The sequence below is a fragment of the Homo sapiens genome, chromosome 14 (genome assembly GCF_000001405.40).
Source record: "Homo sapiens chromosome 14, GRCh38.p14 Primary Assembly".
In the NCBI taxonomy this organism is placed as follows: domain Eukaryota; kingdom Metazoa; phylum Chordata; class Mammalia; order Primates; family Hominidae; genus Homo; species Homo sapiens.
This window is the reverse complement of record NC_000014.9, coordinates 68569951-68586040: the sequence shown is the minus strand read 5'-3', so window position 1 is coordinate 68586040 and position 16090 is coordinate 68569951. Positions and strand designations below refer to the sequence as shown.

Genomic DNA, 16090 nt, shown 5'->3' with positions numbered 1-16090 from the left:
CCGATTCACTGTGAAACGCAAAGCGTAACGTGCCGTGGATGCTTTGCAGGGCCTTGATGAGATCTGCAGCAGATGAGCCGTTGCCTTGGCGACGCTAATGAAAAGCAGGCTTTAGAGAGGTCCAAGAACCCCCGTGGGCTGAGTTGTCTCCCCCCTCTGCAGCTCTCCTTGCCTCCCCACCAACAGCCTCAGATCAAACTCCCCGAATATTTATAAAATCTCTACCAGAAACAGAGAAAGTCAGCCGCCCAGCCAGGCGTCTGCCCACGTCTTTCCGGAGCTGCTGGAGTGACACTCTCCAACGTGGCTCATTATTCTGTTTTTCTTCCTTGCAGTGAGCAGGACACCCGGGGTCGGGGTGGGGAGGAAAAAAATGTTTGCTCTGCCCTGTTCCAGCTGATTTTGACTTGGGGAATTTACTTAGCATTTAGGGGCCTTACCTGGGACAGGTCATCCTGTCCCCAGCCCCTCCCTACCCTTCTGCCTTCTAGTTTGTTGCTCCCTTTATCCCACCTTTGTTAAAGATAGGCTCTGACTTGGAGCCTGTTTGGCTATTCCTTGGTTGCTTGTTTAGCCCATCAGCCTCCCGCCTGGGGCTCCTCGTCAGGAGCCCCTGGGAAAGTCCGAGGGGAGACTCGCTAAGAACCTCTCTGCACTTCCACAATGGAAATGCGAGGGATAATGGGGATTGGCAGCAAAAGGAGCCGGCCTCCCTGCCATGGTGAAGCAGGAATTGGGCTTATTCCCTCTGAAGAAAAGGGAGTTCCTGAAATTCCCCATGGGGAGACAGCAGGGAATCAAGGCTGGTCTGAGAAAATCTAGGTGACCACTGCCTTTTTTGCCTGCTGGTTATTAAAATGCAAATAACTTAAATAATAGAGTACACAGAGGTGGGAATGCACCTCTCTGGGCTGTGTCCTGCCAGAAAATGGGAAGGCCCCATTTGCCCACTTGAGTATATTCTGAGACTGACCTTCCTGACCGCCGCATCCTATGGGTGAAGCAGACTTCTATGTAGAGAGGCATCAAGAGCTTGTGGCAAGTCCTGGATTGGGCTAAGAGTGTTGAGTGTAATTTGAGTGTAACGCCCAGCTCTGCCAAACCCTGAGGGCTCTGCCTGGCAAGTTACAACAACCTTCCTCTCTCTCGGTTTCCTCATGTTCAGAAAATGAGGATGGGACTAGGTAGTCTTTAAGATCTCTTCTAGTTCTATGATTTCTACATAACATGGAAGAATAAAAATGCCATATGTTATAAAGTACTAACATGAACATAATTCATGGGCCAAATGTTGGGTCCAGGTGGTAAACAATACAGGTGATAAAGCAGGGGAAGAATCGATGGAAGTGTTGGGAACCTTTTATGGAGGTGAAATCTCAAGTCACCTTGAAGGACGAAAGCGATTTGGATAGAAATAAGAACAGCTGGGTAGGTGCAGATGAGCAGATGTTGGGAGCAGGCAAGAAGCGCAGTGGCAGAGGTGAGCTGGCTGGAGGTGAGGAAACATTGGGAGGTAAGGTTCTATAGGGAAGGCTGATCAGGGCAGGAGGGCAATGCTATGGGAGCATGAGCGTTAGAGAGAAGCAAAGAGGCTTGCTCGATTGTAATAGCTCCTGCTTCCTTAAGATTAATGAATTTGCTTGAGTGACTCCCACCAACACCCTGGCTATAAGAGGTCGAAGGAAACCAGATCAGTAACAAGATCAGGACCCTCAGCCATTGGCTTATGTGGCCCCAAGGAGGTCCTAGATTCCGGCAGCTGAGGGATCTGACTCTCCAGAGACGTGTCCTTTTGTCACCTTTCTGCCAAGGAGGCCAGCCAAGTGGCACAGGCTGGTGGGGATTAGAGTCAGGGAGTGTGAGGAGGAAAACAAGCTCTTCACTGTGTCAGGAGCATGAGACGGTGACACCTGAATGACCCTGAGGCACGAGGTGTTGGGCAGAAATCCAGCCCCAGCATGGGGGGTGGGGGGGCGCCTGGGCATCTGGAGGACTCTTCTAGGAAACCTTTAAAGCTCCTTCCTCCGGTTTTCATTGGCTAAGCTCACCCCCGCCAGGTCCTCATCTGGTGACTGGAGTGGCCGGTGCTGTGGCCCACACATTAGGGAGTCTGCTCTGGCTCACCTCCAGCCGTGGGTGAAGTGTCCACAGGTTAAAGGAATATGGCCCCAAGGACCCACATATGCCCTGCTGCTGGACGTTGGACAGTGCCTTGTGCATTCTGATCCTGGAGTTCCCTGGTCAATTCCCTGAGCCTAAGCCCAAGGCCAAGTTGTGGGTGGATCACATTACTGGTGTGCACACCCATAGGCCTCGGGTGGTGACCAGGGGTGGCTTGAGGGCACTGCGGAGCTTGCACATGTGAGCTGAGTGCCCACACATGTGTGCTCAAGGCCCTTCCTAGTGCTAAATGGAGCCAGGGTCTGAAACCAGCCCAGGCGGGCTCCCCCAAGGCCACCACATTCCAGTGTGGAACTCTGAGGGGTCCACGGGTTCTAAATTCAAGGTTGGCCTTCACCATATCAGGAAGGTGCGTTTGTCAAGGCAAGAGGAGAGAACATATTCTATGTAATAGTTTGTTAGCTTGATTTGTAACTTTCAAATATTTGGACATATGAAAGCTGGTCTACATTGTACCCTTACCTGGACCCCCAAAAGTATGTGGGGGAGTCTCTATTTCCTAAACTTATTTTACAGCTTCTCCTCCCACTTACATCACTATTAGGGGATCACCCTGTCTCCAAAGAGTGTCACCCCCTCCTGGCAGGTCTGCAGGCGCTGTAGACAAACCTGTCAGGTAAAGCCAATGGACCTGAGGCCTTAGTGAGCCACAGCACCTGCCACCACCAGCTGAGGCAGGACATTTCTTTTTTAAATTTTTTTTATTTTTTATTATACTTTAAGTTCTGGGATACATGTGCAGAACGTGCAGATTTGTTACACTGGTATACACATGCCATGGTTGTTTGCTGCACCCATCAACCTGTTATCTACATTAGGTTTTTCTCCTAATGCTATCCCTCCCCTAGCCCCCTAGCCCCTTACAGGCCCTGGTGTGTGACGTTCCCCTCCCTGTGTCCATGTGTTATTGTTCAACTCCCGCTTATGAGTGAGAACATGTGGTGTTTGGTTTTCTCTTCTTGTGTCACTTTGCTGAGAATAATGGTTTCCAGCTTCATCCATGTCCCTACAAAGGACATGAACTCATCCTTTTTTATGGCTGCATAGTATTCCATGGTGTATATGTGCTACATTTTCTTTATCCAGTCTATCATTGATGGGCGTTTGGGTTGATTCCAAGTCTTTGCTATTGTGAACAGTGCCACAATAAACATACGTGTGCATGTGTCTTTATAGCAGAATGATTTATAATCCTTTGGGTATATACCCAGTAATGGGATTGCTGGGTCAAATGGTATTTCTGGTTCTAGATCCTTGAGGAATTGCCACACTGTCTTCCACAATGGTTGGACGAATTATACTCCCATCAACAGTGTAAAAGCATTCCTATTTCTCCCGTCCTCTACAGCATCTGTTGTTTCCTGACTTTTTAATGATCGCCATTCTTACTGGCATGAGATGGTATCTCATTGTGGTTTTGATTTGCATTTCTCTAGTGATCAGTGATGATGAGCTTTTTTCCATATGTTTGTTGACCGCATAAATGTCTTCTTTTGAGAAGTGTCTGTTCATATCCTTTGACCACTTTTTGATGGGGTTGTTTTTTTCTTGTAAATTAGTTTAAGTTTTTTGTAGATTCTGGATATTAGCCCTTTGTCAGATGGATAGATTGTAAAAATGTTCTCCCATTCTGTAGGTTGCCTGTTCACTCTTATGATAGTTTCTTTTGCTGTGCAGAAGCTCTTTAGCTTAATTAGATCCCATTTGTCAATTTTGACTTTTGTTGCCATTGCTTTTGGTGTTTTAGTCATGAAGTCTTTGCCCATGCTTATGTCCTGAATGGTATTGCCTAGGTTTTCTTCTAGGGTTTTTATGGTTTTAGATGTTACATTTAAGTCTTTAATCCATCTTGAGTTAATTTTTGTATAAGGTGTAAGGAAGGGGTCCAATTTCAGTTTTCTGCATATGGCTAGCCAGTTTTCCCAACACCATTTATTAAATAGGGAATCCTTTCCCCATTGCCTGCTTTTGTCAGGTTTGTCAAAGATCAGATGGTTGTAGATGCGTAGTGTTATTTCTGAGGCCTCTGTTCTGTTCCATTTGTCTATGTATCTGTTTTGGTACTAGTACCATGCTGTTTTGGTTACCGTAAGCTTGTAGTATAGTTTGAAGTCAGGTAGCGTGATGCCTCCAGGTTTGTTCTTTTTGCTTAGGATTGTCTTGGCTGCACGGGCTCTTTTTTGGTTCCATATGAAATTTAAAGTAGTTTTTTTCTAATTTTGTGAAGAAAGTCAATGGTAGCTGGATGGGGATAGCATTGAATCTACAAATTACTATGGGCAGTATGAGGCCCGACATTTCTTTCCAGGTGCCAAAGCCTCTCCTCTGTGCCTTCCCTCAGACTGCTTGTTGTACAGATGCTCCTTGACTTATGATGAGATTACATCCAGATAAATGCAGGGTGAGCTGGAAATACCAGTGAAAATGCACTGGATCCACCTAACCTCCTGAGCATCACAGCTGAGCCTAGCCCACCTTCAGTGTACTCAGAACGCTTCCACAGCCCAGAGCTGGGCAACATCACCTAGCAGCACAGCACACTGTACGGCATTGGCCCTTTACCCTCCCAACCAGCTGGCTGACCGGGAGACATGGCTCACACCACCACCCAGCATCATGGGAGAATGTGGTGCCACTTTCTACTGACCGCCTATCACTTTTGCACCATCATAAAGTCGAAAAATCACAACTAGGGGACCATCTTTACTTTGAATGCCCTCCCCCTATCCCATCTTAAAGGCAGATTACTTAATAAAGAAACCCTGAGAGCCTGGTCAAAGGTAATCTATCCCTTCTCCTAAAAAAAAATCCTACATTACAGTTGCAATTCTACTATATTAATAAAAGTAATTAATGCTTATGAAAAAAACTGAATCTCACAGGAGGGAAGAAAGTGAAAAGCAGGAGCTCCCTCAGCCTCCTGAGCCCCAGCCGCCCTTCTCCAGAGATGACCGCCAAAGCACAGCTGCCACGTCCCCGCCCCGTGTGGAAATGGCCTGTGCACATACAAGGCTATACTGTGCTGAGGCTCCCATCTGTTCCTTGAGATCTCCAAGGGAAAAAGGATTAAAGAGAGGTTAGAACAGAACCTTGGGGAAATGGGGCTGGTTGGATGGGTCTGAGAGAGGAAAATAACTGAAAGGGAAGAAGAGAGTCATGGGCACCCAGGGAGGGGACAGTGGGAGGTGTGGGGCAGGCGTGTGCACCTAGGACGGCAGGGGTTCAAGAAGGGCTACAGCTAAGAACAAAATCAGTGGAGGTGACTGAGGAACAGCTGAGTGGAGCAGCAGGGGTGGAATAAAGCCCACGTGTATAACAATGTCTCTTCCACGCGGGTCACTGTCCCAAACACTTCCCACTCAGTGACTCACTTCATCTTGCCCAGAGTGCCCATTTGCAGATGAGGAAGCAGAGGTGCCGAGCACTAAGTAGTCCAAGGTCACACAGCTACTCAAAGGTAGGACAGGCCTCCTCCAAGGTCACACAGCTACTCAAAGGTAGGATGGACCTCCAACCCTGGGAGACCTGCTGTGTGCTAAGCTCTGAGATCAGGCCAAACCACAGCTGGCCGCAGGGCAAGCAGGAGGCGAAGAGGTGGGGCAGAGTGGCAGGCCTCCCTGACAAGGCTTACACTGAGAGAAACTTCCAGAACATGGAGGAGAGAAAATACACTGAAAGAGGAAATGAGGGGGAACCGGGAGCCCGGGCCCTGTTTTGTCCTGGGATAATGGTAGCCAGCGGGGGTCTCAGGGCAGGCAGGTAGGATGGCTGCTCTGGAGGAAAGCAGTGCTTCATAGGCAGCACCTTTCAAAGTCCCCTTCGAAGCTCCATGCTGGCATTGCGGGCCCTTCCCTTTCCTGTCCCCCACCTCCACTTGCGGGCACCGCCCCCTCCCACACCTTCTCCTTCTGGGCAGATCTTAGGGCCCTTGCTTGACTGGGCCTGGGCTGGAGACGTGGAGGCATCTGCCACACTGAGTCTCTGCTGCAGCCGACGGTGGGGGCACAATGCCCGTGAACCCCATGACCATTTTCTCTCTTCTATTTTCTTTCCTGGACACTCTGACAGTGGGGCAGCCAGCCTCCTTGGAAAGAACATGGGTGGGGAACAGAAACTGGGGTTGTAAGGTATGCCCCACGCACCAGGCTCAGCTCTCTCCAGGCTGATTTGGGAGCTGCCGGTGTGTTTAGGAAACATGCAAATGGGCTGCCAGGTAAAATATAGACCACCCAACACAATCTGGATTTCAGACAAGCAAGGAATCATTTTTCGGTATACATATGGCTCAAATATTTTATAAAACACACTTATACTAAAAAAAGTATTCATTGTTCATCTTAAATTTAAATTTAAATGAGTGTTTTCTATGTTTATTTGCAACATCTGGCACTCTATCCTCAAACACAAACACCCAGCCTGCCTCCCAGGACTTGGTCAAAGAGAAGCTCAGGCTGCTGCTATGCCTTTGATCTGGTGCACCTACGTTACATTCTGTGCTCCAGGAATAAAAGAAATCTCTGAGCTCCCTCAATTCACTGTCTGAGAAGTTAAGAAGTCCCTCCTCTGGATCTCCATGGGTAGTAATGGAGGGGAGGGAGAGAGGAGTTTGGTGATTTGAAAGCAGCTGGACAAAGGACTTGAAACAGAATACTAGGTGCTTCTGGGAGGCCCCTAGAAGCAGAAGTGACTTGACTGTAGACTCTTGAATTTTCAAGGTGAGGCCATGTGTGCAAAGGAAAATTGGTGGTGTCGTCACCAACATGGAGAGTCAAGAGAGCTGAATCTGGCATCAGTGACTGCCAGGAGACCCTTCTGGGCCCTACTGTGTGTCCTACCTCTTTACTCTGCACAGAACCATGGAAGGGGCCAGAGAAGAGGCTACTAAGGGTGGATGGGTAAGGCCAAGCAACTTATCCAGGTCCACACAGTGAGCTAGAAGGAAAGCAAGCCTATGACCCAGCCCCCTGAACCCTTGATATTTCCAGAGAGCTAGGTCTTGGGAAGGTCGAATGACACACCCATTAGCTATCCCTTGAGCATGCTTTCCTCCTTTGTCTTGTCACCTCTCTGTCTGCCACGTGTTGGAAGGCACATGGATCTGGGCAGGGTACCTGAGTCCAGACCACTTTCCCTGAAATTCCCTTCTGGATTTTGGGCTTCACCTTCCTGTGATCTATTCCTTCCAACTTGGTCTCCTTTATATCATTATAAGGGCCCTTTGCCTGTGAGTCAATATATCCTTCAAGGAGAGAGGCTATCCAAAGACATTCAGGACCTGGGGCTCAGGTGTGAAGTGTTGTCTGTTGTCTCTTTGCTTTATACTAATTGCATAGGAAGTCATGTGTGAGGTGGGCCGGCAGATTCTGAAACCTCCATGAAAGCTGCCATGTCATATCATCCATGGCGGGGAAATTACTTTCTTTCTCCTTTTTTTGTTTTTGTTTTTTTGAGATGGAGTTTCCCTCTTGTTGCCCAAGCTGGAGTGCAATGGTGCAATCTCCGTTCACTACAACCTCCACCTCCCGGGTTCAAGCGATTCTCTTGCCTCAGCCTCCCGAGTAGCTGGGATTACAGGTGCATGCCACCACGCCCAGCCAATAGAAAAGGGGTTTCACCATGTTAGCCAGGTTGGTCTCGAACTCCTGACCTCAAGTGATCTGCCCACCTCAGCCTCCCAAAGTGCTGATATTACAGGCATGAGCCACCGCGCCCAGCCATTACGTTCTTTATCTTTGCTTTTCTTTGCTTTCACTTCTGTTAGCAACGAGTTTCAACAGCCATTGCCACATAGTGTTGCATAGGCAGCAACGTGTTCGACAATGTGCTGTTGACAAGCACATACCACAGAATCAGGAAGACCAGTAAGTATTTCAGGAATTTGCCTGATGGAAATGACTCAAGTCTGGGGCCAGCATGAAATCCTATAAAGCAGTAAGGACACCCACCATTCTCCCTGATTTGAACCTACCCTTGAGGACATGTCTGACTCCATTCATTCACTTAATAAGTACTTATTGAGCATGTACACCACGGCAGGTAGGATTCTAAGTGCCGGGGACACAACTTTGAGAAAATAGACCAAGTCCCTGCCTTTAACTGTGTGTGTGTGTGTGTGTGATGAGAGAGGTGATAAACACAAATGTATCTGGTAACAATAAGTGCTATATAGAAAAATAAAGCAGGGGCTGGGCGCGCTGGGAGGCCGTGGTAGGCGGATCATGAGGTCCAGAGTGGGATCCAGGCTCAGTTGTGAGGAAGGTCTGAAGTGAAGGGAGCATGTTGAACCCTGGCTCATGGCTTGTGATTGAGAACACCATGCAGTGACCAGCCTAGGATTCCATTTTTTTTTTTTTTACATAAAATCAGATGAATAATGAGTAAAAGCACATGAATAATTTTACATTTGACTGTGGAAGCATCTAAACTAAAGGAGGGAGAGAGGGTTGTTCTTGGTTATTCCTTTTTGAGGCTGGGCCTTCATCTTCAAAACCTTCATCTTCAAAATGATTAAAATTGTAGACAAGGCCACAGGATGAGAAGGGTCCAGTGGCTTGGCTCTAGTTATCCTAGGGAGGGGCAGTTCCTTGGGTGTCCATGAACTCAGAACGTGCAAACCTAGTATTGCCTCCCAACTCTCTCCCGGACCCATGTGTCTCCTTTTGAGTTACAGTAATAATGGAGAACAACTGGGCCCTCTGTTTTTAGGCTAAAGGTCAAGACCAGAAAAGACTTGGAACCAAACTGGAAATTCTGCTTCCTTCCCCATAACTCCCTGTCAGCTTGTAAGCACCTTCTGTTCATCCAAGTTTTGGAGAAGACATTGGTCTTGTGTTCTGACAGACCCTGGCCTCCCAAGCTTGCTTTCCAGGGAATCTCAGCAAACCACAAACGGAATGCCCCTGTTGGTTCCGCTTTCATCTACCATTTTTTTCCTAAATAAAACACAATGAAATATTTTATCTTGATCTTGAAATACTTGCACACCAGGACCTGCTGTAGAAGATCCCAAGGTAACAGAAAGTTCATCAAAGAGCACAGACTCTGAGTCAAGAGGTGGAGCACCCAAGCTAGGTTCACCTCTGACCCCTTCCTTACTAACATCATGCCCCTGCGTGAGTCCAAACCATTTCTTGCCTCCAGTGCAGCCAAATGACAGAGGTCAGAAGGGTACCACTGATCTGATTGTTAAGAGGCAAAGATGACTCATACCCTAGAAGCTCTAAAGTACCAAGGCCTGGGTCCATCCCTAAGACTGTTTCCCTGCATTCCCCAGGGCTGGCATGCCTGGATGCTTTAGCATCTCCATCTGGAAACAAGACTCATTCCTCACTAAGTGCCATGGAAAGGCTGCAAAGACACTTTCCCTAGAACAAGGGTTTTAAGCTTTATGCATCCTCAACCTTCTAGTGGGGGCTTTACTTCTCATTCCCCAAAGCCTCAAGGTCCTCTGGGTTGGGGGTGGCAGGCAGGTCTGCAATGGTAACAATCCTAATCACGAAAAGGAGGAAGGTGTCCCCTGTGCTTATTTTTCTCCATTTGCCTTCTCCCTTCATGTTCATTCTCTTCCCTTTGGTGCCCTGCTCTGTGACCCCTGGGGCTGAGTGCTAGGAGCTGAATCACCAGCTTCCTTTGCCTCTAGCTTCCTTTTGTGTCCGGCAAATGTGAGGTACAGGCAGGAGGCTGGAGGTCAGGAGGGTGTCTCTTCCCCTGCTCCCTCTTTGCTCTGGTGCTTGGCTATGGCAGGGACTGTGGCCCTTGGGACCACTGCTCTCACCAGGTGGCCACCTCTATGCTGCCAAGACTCACCAGGCCCCAGTCACACTATTTCCTTTCTTTGCTCCTTTGGCTGAGGGCTGGTATCATCTTCCCACTATTGCTAGTTCCTGGGTGCCTCAACATTCCTGTTGCTGCCCTGAACCCTGCCCGTCCATCTATAAGTTGTGCCTTCACTACATTCTTCTTAGTCAAATCCTTTTGAAAAGAACTCTGTTTCTTGCTGGGACCCTGATTAATATATCTTTCTATATGTATTTCAAAATAAAAACTACCCTAAACGGTAAGGTAAGTATGAGGCTTTCTGACACTGACTCTTTTGAAGCTATGTTGGTGTCCAGAGGATGAACTTGGCTGCCAACTGGGGCATGAGCCTGGGTGCAGGGACTGCTGCTCCTGAAGCTTCTAGAATGAACAGGTCAGGGGCCCTGGGAGTTGCTGAGCCTTCCTCATTGGGAGAATCCCCATTCACCATGGGTGTGTGGCGTTGGGGAGGGAGAGGGGAGGAGATGGAATTATTTCACAATCTACCATGCCGCAAGGCTCTGGGATTCAACGGTCCATTTCAATTTTTCAAATGGGGCCTAAGACCCAGGGAAGAGGCCACAGAGCCCATTTCAGTCCAAATCAGCCAGACCCCAAACCTTTACAGATTCTCATCCTGGGGAAAATAAAATCTGGTGACTGCCAGAGAAATGAGGGGCAGGGGGAGCAGGGAGCAGGGAGGGAGCTTGTCATGTAAGCCTTGGCATCAGACAGCATTTGATTTCTGGCCCTACCATTTAGAAGCTATGAGAACTTGGGAAAGTCACCTAACCCCTCAGAGACTCGAGTCCCTCACTTTCCAGTTGGGAATAAATAAACTCCATATCCTCTAGGATTGTCGAGTCAGTATCTTTGACAGAAAACCCTGGCTGAGAAGCTCCCACTGAGGAGCACCATCTGAAGGGCTTGGCACAATGCCTGGCCTGCAAAAGGCATGCAGGAAATGGTACTTGGTATTATCTAAGTCCATCTCCATGGCTTCCCACTAGAGAAAAAGTCATTGTGGAGAACATACTTGGATGTATGAAGGCAATCAGAAAACCAGTCAATGGCGTGCTTTCCTCTTCTCTAACCTCAGAGTGGATTTGGATGAGAAGACTGCTCATCCCCAACCTCTCTTGCTCCTGGGCTTATTTCCCCAATCCCCCCCACACTTCATAGCTACTGGAGACCAAAAATCCTTGCTAAATTGGCAGGCTTTCCCCCTTCTCTGAGGAGCTCTTGGAATTGACTAACGAGGTTACCACAGGTGCTGCCTTGCTGCCAGCCATGAAAAAATAAAAATAAACTATTTTCTGTTGGAGAAGGGTGATGGGGACACATGCCCAGAACCTGCTACTGCAAGGATCTGAAACCACGGGGCTGTTGCAGTAATACATTTCTGCTTCGCTGGCCCAAGGTCCCTGTCCCATTAGAGTGGGCCTGGTGGATTCAAAGTGGAGGCCCCAGGTGTGGTGGGCTGGCCCTCTGGGTGCCCCTATACAGGCTGCTAAAGCAATGGGTGGGAGGACAAAGCTATCTTTTTGGTAGAGATCCACAAAGATGTCTCAGTTGGATTATTTTTAAATAATGTCTGGTGGGCTGGACTGGGTTTTAAGGGCTGAGAATTAAGACCTATGTGTTCTGTGGTGCTGATAGTGAAGGAAGTAGCTGTGGCCGGGTGCAGTGGCTCACACCTGTAATCCTAGCACTTTGGGAGGCCAAGGCGGGTGGATCGCTTGAGCCTAGGAGTTCGAGACCAGCCTGGGCAACACAGTGAGATGCTGGTGCGTGCAGCCAATAAAAGCCAGTAGTAGTTCCAGCTACTGAGGAGGCTGAGGCGGCAGTATTGCTTGAGGCTGGGAGTTTGAAGCTGCAGCGAGCCAAGGTTGTGCCACTGCACTCCAGCCTGGGTGACAGAGCGAGACCCTGTCTCAAACAAAACAAAAACAAACAAACAAACAAACAAAAAGTAGCTATTTCTCACCCTCAGCTTGCTGGAGTAGGGGTGGGGGTGGAGAGGAGAGCAATGGAGTTCCTTCAACATGTGAGTGAGCACACACACACACACACACACACACATACACACACTGACACCCACACCCACACCCCCACACACACAGCAGTCAATGAGAACAAAAGCTCAAGCTCAGCCCATACTCATGTGCTGCATGCTCTTGTTTGCCGGGCTCTGTAGAGGGAACTGAGCACCAAAGTGAAGCTAAAGTCTTCATCTGCGGGCTGAATGGAAGGCCTGCCCCCTTGGTGGCCCAGGAACAGATATAGGTTGGATGGTGGTCTGGAGCCTCCCAGAACCTTAGGCTCCTGAGGGGAGTCCTGAGACTTCATCCACTCATTTAACAAAGACCTGCTAGGCGCCCTACACAGTGCTGGATACGTAGCAGTGGTCAAGGGTGCTGCCCTCCTGAAGCTTTATTCCCCGTGGGAGAGACAGATAATAAACAACACAGGTAGCTCTCATGTGTTATTTGGTGACAAATATATGGAGAAAAATAAAGCCAGGTAAGGGGGATAGGAAGACTTTGGGTAGGGATGTCGGCAAAGGTAGGTCTTAAGTTTCTTAAATGCAGAACATCAGCAAAGCTCTCCTTAAGAAAGGAATGGGCCAAGTATGGGCAGTGAGGAGGCAGGGAGCAATCCAGGTGGAAGGAATAGCAAGTACAGGGACACCGAGGCAGGGATGTGCTTGGTTTCTCTGAGAAACAGTAAGGAGTCCAGTGCAGCCGAGTGGAGGAGAGTGCGAGGGGGCACAGCAGGAGGTGGGGTAGAGAAGGAGCAGGGCTCGACCACGTGGGCCTGTGGGCCACATGAGCCTCTGGCTTTTATGAGTGAGGTGAGAGCTGCTGGAAGGCTGTGAGTGAGGTGAGAACTGCTGGAAGGCTCTGAGCAGTGGAGGACATGATCCATTGTACATACAGTTCACCCTGGCTGCTGGGAGTTGACTGGAAATAAGATAGAGTAGTATGAGGTGACTGTAGCAGAAATCCAGATGTGAGGGATGATGACACTCCCTGGCCTGGGTTTGATTCCCCGACTCCATCACATATGACCTGTGGCACCCTTGGTAGGCTGTTTCATCTCTCTGTGCTTTTGTCTCCTCACGCGTAAGATGGGCTACTACCCATTCTTCATAGGGTTCTGTCTAGGGTTGTGATGAGGATTAAATGAGCGAAAACATGTACAGTACCTGAGGTGTAGTAAGAGCTCAGAAGCATTAGCCATTATGCTGTGATGCTATTGATATGACACTGGCAATTTGGAGATGGGAAGTCAAGGTCAGCAGGGGAAGAGCATATCAAGATTGAAGTCACCACCTAGAAGGTCAGTGATAGAAGCCAGGACCCACTGGGAGGTCGGGACAAGTCACAGGCCAGGGATGAGTGGATAGTCTGGGATCAGGTGGGAGTGGCTTTGGCAGGTGAGCCGTGGGGGCACCGCAGGAGTTATTGGGGTGGCTTACTGGAATCAGAAGCCCCAGGCAAGGAAACAGAGAAGGAAGGAGTTGGGCCCCAGCAGAGTAAAAACAAGGGGCTTTGCCAAGAGAGCAAACCAAGCAGCCCCCCAGCTGCAAGGGGCAGCTCAGGGCAAGTGAGCAATGCCCACATCTTATTTCAAGAGTTTTGAGGGGCTCCTTAAAAAGCAGGTTTAGGTTTCCAGCAAGGAAAGCAAGGCAGCTGCTGACACAGTCCAGCCTGCAAGGTGTGACGTCTGGGAGGCAGCTGGGCAGGGCCCATGCCACAGGGTTAGGGCTGATGCCTGGGAGAGACTGAAGCCCACCGTGGGTTTGAGAGACACTAGGGGACCAATAGACACTTAGCGGAACCCACTAGTATATCTGGATTCGAGATTACATCTCAAAAGGTTGGCCAGACGACCTTTTGTTTGTAGATTACAAACATCCCTGCTTCTAAGCCAGAGGACATGAGACAGAGTCCAAGGGCCTGTTTGCATGACGTATGAAACAGCCACACACTGGGGTCTGTGGGGGTCCGTGAGCTAACAAATTTCCCCAGAATGGCATGTGCTGTAGTTTTGGGGATTGTGCTTTATAGATTGATAATGATGGACAACGAAATAAAATCGATGTCCACTTTCTGTGCCGCCTCTTGTAGCTCCTTCTTCCCCTTAGCGGCTGCTCACTCTCATTTTTTCTCTTCTTTTAACAAACGTGATTATCTGGCTCTCAGGTGAGGACCTGAGCCAAGGAGATTCTCAAAAAACAAACAAACAAACAAACAAAAAACAGCCATCCAACACCAAACAACCAATAACTGAACAACTAACAATCAACCAACTAACTATATGTGGTAGGGAGAATAACGGCCCCTCAAAGGTGTCCACGGCCTATTTCCTGAAGCCTATAAACATGTTCCCTGACAGGAAAAAGGGAATTAAGGCTGTTAGTTAGCTAACCTTAAAACAGGCACATTGTCCTGGCCCAACGTAATCACAAGGGTCCTAAAAGAAGAAGAGGGAGGCAGAAGAGGAATCCAAGTCAGAGGGAGAAGTGGCAATGGAAGAATGATTGGTCGGAGAGCTGTGATGTTGCTGGCTCTGAAGACAGAGAAAGGGGGCCATGAGTCAAGGAATGTGGGCGGCCTCTAGAAGCTGGAAAAAACAAGACAACACTTTCTTTTCTGCAGCCTCCAGAAGGGAACACTGCCCTGACGACACTGATTTTAGCTCAGTGAGATCCATTTTGGACTTCTGACCTCCAGGATTATACAGGTAATTGATTTGTACTGTTGAAGCTACTAAGTTTGTATGGCAGCAATGGGAAATGGGCACATTAACCAACCAAATTGAATCTGGTTTGAACTGACATGGTTGTACCCAGCACTGCAGCATGCAAGGCCTTCAGCCTGGTTGTTTCACCTTAGCTCACGGGGTCACCTGCCCTGTGTTCCAGCCAATCAGAAAACTTGCCATTGCTTGACAGTCTCTGCCTCCCCCCTCTGCCAATTCTATCATTCTGGGAGGGTTGTTAGATCTTACATGTCAGGCTTACAAAGCCCCTTCACTGGCTGATGTGAAGTTTAAAGGAAATGCTGTATGTGTGAGCGGTTTGCAAACTGGAAAGCTCATGAAGACACGAGCTAATATGTGATTTGATGTGTGTGTGTGTGCATGTGTGTGTGTGTGCATGTGTGTGTGTGTGTGTGTGTGTGGCGCTCCAGCCTTTGAGCCCAAGACCCCTGGATGTCCTCAGAGCCTTTCCCTTTAGGTTATTGATCACAGTGTCTTAAATTATAGTTTCATATACGCACATATTATTCTCTTACTAGATTTGCAGCTTCTTTGAGGGAAGGGCCTGGACAGTATTTACCCTGTTAACCCCCATAGGGGGAAGCTTGGCTGGAGGTAAAAATGGGGATGGGGGCTGGACACAGAGGGTCAGAAGGTTACAGCAGGCTGCCAAGGGCACTGGACCCCCCTCCTGGCTCAGCTGCAGACCCCAGATTTAGACTCCCTGATGATAGGACCTGGCCATGCCTTTGTCCCTTTAAATAGCATAGAGTGTTTAGTAAACAGTTGATGGGAATCTGTTTCTCACAGTACCCTCCCCTGGTATTTTTAAGGTCCTACAGTGACCTTCAGATGCCTCCAATCTTGGCTCCCACTGGTCTATCCTATGCAAAGTGACAAGGCTGGTTTCTCATAGCCTTGTTTGATCTCAGGCCTTCTAACCTTGCAGTCAAATGACCCCGGGGAGAGAGTCATAATTCTGGGCCCTCTCCTAATCGCAGGCTCCCCTGACCCAGGTCCTGCCAGTGCTTGATTCCAGGCAGGACAGCCCTCTGGGTAGTCCCTGTTCCCACAGGTGGGGCAAACAGATGCAAGACAAGGAGCTCAGGGCAGAGGGACCTGGGTATGGGGACCCAGGAGCCACTGGGGAGGCTCACTCTCCTCTCTCGCTGGCACAGCCTGTTCTGTTACTCTGGGCCACATTAGGTAAACAGGGGAAAGAAAACAATGTCCGTCAGCTACAAAATGAGCCTGTCAGGAAAGGAATGTTATTGCCAAGTGTTCTCAGAGGGCAAGACAAACAAAGAAGGTGAAACCTGTCTTTAACATCAGGCCTGGTTCACAA

General features: G+C 48.8%; 1 protein-coding gene across 6 annotated transcripts in view, besides 2 other annotated features; it reads right to left on the bottom strand.

Annotated features, from left to right (window-relative positions):
• The window catches only part of RAD51B (RAD51 paralog B), an 863318-nt gene that overhangs the window by 97056 nt on the left and 750172 nt on the right, over positions 1 to 16090 (bottom strand). The gene's annotated exons all lie outside the window — the stretch shown is intronic.
• Positions 172 to 673: an enhancer, noted in NCBI's record as "H3K4me1 hESC enhancer chr14:69052085-69052586 (GRCh37/hg19 assembly coordinates)". NCBI's record gives its function as "activates a minimal SCP1, AML or CMV promoter by ChIP-STARR-seq in primed H9 embryonic stem cells {active_cell/tissue: H9 hESC(primed)}" and the evidence as "EXISTENCE:reporter gene assay evidence [ECO:0000049][PMID:30033119]".
• Positions 9468 to 9637: an enhancer, noted in NCBI's record as "experimental_36356 CRE fragment used in MPRA reporter constructs". NCBI's record gives its function as "activates a minimal promoter by MPRAs in K562 erythroleukemia cells, with activity observed for both the introgressed and non-introgressed 14:69043206 variant alleles {active_cell/tissue: K562}" and the evidence as "EXISTENCE:reporter gene assay evidence [ECO:0000049][PMID:34662402]".